At 38.2% G+C, this 3,609-nt stretch overlaps 1 annotated feature.

Annotated features, from left to right (window-relative positions):
* Positions 385-1,584: an enhancer, noted in NCBI's record as "P300/CBP strongly-dependent group 1 enhancer chr4:26569763-26570962 (GRCh37/hg19 assembly coordinates)". NCBI's record gives its function as "activates an origin of replication core promoter dependent on BRD2, BRD4, P300/CBP, MED14 and CDK7 cofactors, with strong dependence on P300/CBP, by STARR-seq in HCT116 cells {active_cell/tissue: HCT116}" and the evidence as "EXISTENCE:reporter gene assay evidence [ECO:0000049][PMID:35650434]".

Here is a 3,609-nt window from a genome sequence, read left to right on the forward strand (position 1 = left end):
TATATTGTAATTATCTCATATTTATGACACTTAATAGATAGAAGAATACTAGAAAAGTCAACTGATGCTTTTTAATAATGGATTCTTCCATCACATTAGCAAATATCTCCTTTCTTACAATATGGTATTGTTGAGCTGCTGGACTTCTTGTTAGCTTTACAGCATCATAGAGTTTATTTTATTGAGATAGAGTCTTGCTCTGTCACCCAAGCTGGAGTACAGTGGCAGAATCATGGCTCACTGCAGCCCTTGACCTCCTGGGCTCAAGTGATCCTCTCACCTCAGCCTCCTGAGTAGCTGGGGGTACAGCTGTGCTACCACACTCAGCTAATTTTTTTTTTTTTTTGTATTTTTTGTAGAGATGTAGTTTTGCCATTGTGCCCAAGCTGGTGTCAAATTCCTGGGCTCCAGTGATCCTCTCAAAGTGCTGGGATTACAGGCATGAGCCACTGCGCCCAGCCCGTCATAGATTTTTGATGGAAGATCTTGAAAGATCATCTTGTCTAGCCACATCATATTTTCAAATGAGACACAGACCCAAAGGGTTATACCCCTAATTTGCAGCAGAGCTGACATGAGAGCCTGATTCCCTTAATCCAAGTCCAGGTCTCTGTCTGCCATATCACAAGACACCATTCTATCAGCTCAGAAGCCTTTGGTGGCTCCGGAAAGACATTTATTCCATATACTTCAAACCTAGGGAATATTGACTAGCATGATTTCGTCAGAATAAATTCATTCCGGAAGAGAACAGGAGACTTAGCAGTTCTTTCCCAATCTTCATGAGATCACAGGAAACAATCTTAGATGATGTGTTTGATTTTTCCTTTCAGCTGTTTTTTGTTTTGCTTGGCCTCATGAGGAAGGAAAACACTTAGCTGAATGATAAAGCCATTAAAGTCTTAATCATCTATTTGTTTAATGTTTTCCTCAGTATTTTCATTTTGTGTTTAAAATTCAGAAGCTCATTTTAAGGAGCAAAGGTTACACGCAAGATTAAGATCAAAGAATTCCTAATAATACTGACTGAGAAACCAAGATCCTAGTCTTTAGAGTAACCATTCTTTCTGAGAAAAGCTGATGACTCATGCTGATTGTAGAAGTTTGTAATATGCCATGAAAATTGAGCACTTAAAATTCAAAGATTTCCTTGGATGCATCTACTCTGAATCATCTGGAGGAAAATTGAATAAAAACAAAACCAAAACCAAAAAACCAAACCAAACAGTCAATTGTCTGGGTATTTTAGCCACATAATGGCAAACATATAGCTATTTGTAAATATCATATGACTGCCTGAATTTTTTATAATCTAGATTTCTAGTCATGAACCCAGTAAAATCTGTATTATCATCAAATAACAATTTATTTCTACACAGACTACAATTGAAAATTTAAGCCACAGATTTTGATGATTACTGGCTTAATAAATGAACATAGCTTAGTTAGATATGAAATAGCACAACTCATATAATCAAAAATTAGTTGAAGGGAAAATATCATGTAAAAGAAAGGGCTGAAGCAATCTAGCTGCAACTTTTAATCAGAAGCTAGCATACTGTCAGCATAATGAGATGTATTATATATGTAAATGCTCATTACGATAACAATTTTAAAATTTCAGTATAATGGCAGGGTCTCTAGAACACTAAGCCTTGAGCTCTACTGATTACTATTAGGAGGGAATATTCACACATCACTTTTATTTATTTATTTTTTTTGAGACGGAGTCTCGCTCTGTCTCCCAGGCTGGAGTGCAGTGGCGTGATCTCTGCTCACTGCAAGCTCCGCCTCCTGGGTTCACGCCATTCTCCTGCCTCAGCCTCCTGAGTAGCTGGGACTACAGGGGCCTGCCACCACGCCCGGCTAATTTTTTGTATTTTTAGTAGAGACAGGGTTTCACCGTGTTAGCCAGGATGGTCTCGACCTCCTGATCTTCTGATCCGCCCTCCTCGGCCTCCCAAAGTGCTGGGAGTACAGGCGTGAGCCACCACGCCCAGCCCACCCATCACTTTTAGTTTTAAGGATTCACACTCATCTGTCTGGGAGATTTGCAAAGAAATCCCCGGTGCCCTGAAAACAGGAGAAAAAAACCTACTAAAGCAGGAGATTGTACCAAATGAGAAAGGTCTGGTTTTGTCCACATTTATTCATCGGTCTGCTCATAGCTACTTAACCTTTCATCACTAGAACCTGGGGCTTTGTTTTCTTTGTTTTTTATTTGTTCACACAAGCAGTAACTACCTTTATGTACGTACTATTTGGATGATGAAAATAATTTAATGTAGCTTGGCCCAGCCTTGTTGAATGTCATCACCTCAGAGACAACCCCTGACCACTCAACCCACATATCAGACTTTACTCCATCATCAGGTTTCATTTTCTTCAAAACAACCATGGTTATCTAAACTGGTCACCTTAAAAAAAATTCAGTTATGTGTTTACAGTCCATTTCCTCCACGGGGTATAAGCATAATAAGATCAGGTTCTTTGGCCATCCTGTTTGCTGCTGAATCCCCAGTGTCTAGGACAGAGCATGGCACGTGAAAAATATGTGTTAATCCATATTTAATCCATATTTAATCCAAAAAAATATGTGTTAAGTGAATATTTGAGTGTCTAAAGCACATAGCCTTAATTAGATCTCTTTCCTCTAGAACACTAAGTTCAAAGTTGCCATCAAGGGTTACATGGAAAGAAAGTCCTATTAAGTATAAGACAAACAGAGACATTGGAAAAAAGAAGACTGAATAAAATAAGCAGAGCCAGTGCATGAAAGGATGTAAAAAATAAAATTAGCACCAAATGATTTTACAGGTAAATATTCAAAGGACAGCAAAAAGATTAAAAAGTAGAAATAAAGTAGAGGGAAAAAAAGTCAGCTATTGGTACAAAGGTTTTAACTGCAGGATTGGGATGCTTCCTGCAATGATCTTTAAGAGTTAGAATCCTGGACAAGTCAGAAGGACAGAGGATAAGAATTTCTGGCACAAGAAATGAGTCATTGGAAATAGATGGCCCTGATTCAAATCCAAGTTCTCCCATTTTCTTCCATGTGATCCATGGTAAGTCACTTAGTTTCCTCAGCTGTTGGCTTACTCAGTGAAAACTGCTATAACAAAAATACCTTAGACTGGATAATTTATAAACAACAGAAATTTATTTTTCACGGTTCTGGAGGCTCTGAAGTCCAAGATCAAGGTGCCAGCAGATTTGGTTTCTGGCGACTTTCTGATTCGTAGATGGGAACTTCCAGCTGCATCCTCACATGATATAAAGGACAGTGTCTCTCTGGGGCCTCTTTTATAAGAGTATTAATCTCATTCTTGAAGGCAGAGCCCTCATAACCTAATCATCTCCCAAAGGCCCCATCTTTTAATACCAATATCTTGGTGATTAGATTTCAATGTTTGAATTTTAACAAGACACAAATAATCAGACCATAGTAGCTGTAAAGTCTAGATAATTCTGAGATAAGGCCTAAAGGAGATATACATGTATTTCTCATTGAATGTTCAATACCGTTACCCTTTATTATGTATTTTTCAATTAATAAACAGGGTGCTAGTGAGAAAAGCTCTCTTGCCTTCCTTCCACAACTAGGTTACT

This window comes from Homo sapiens, chromosome 4 (assembly GCF_000001405.40).
Source record: "Homo sapiens chromosome 4, GRCh38.p14 Primary Assembly".
Classification (NCBI taxonomy): domain Eukaryota; kingdom Metazoa; phylum Chordata; class Mammalia; order Primates; family Hominidae; genus Homo; species Homo sapiens.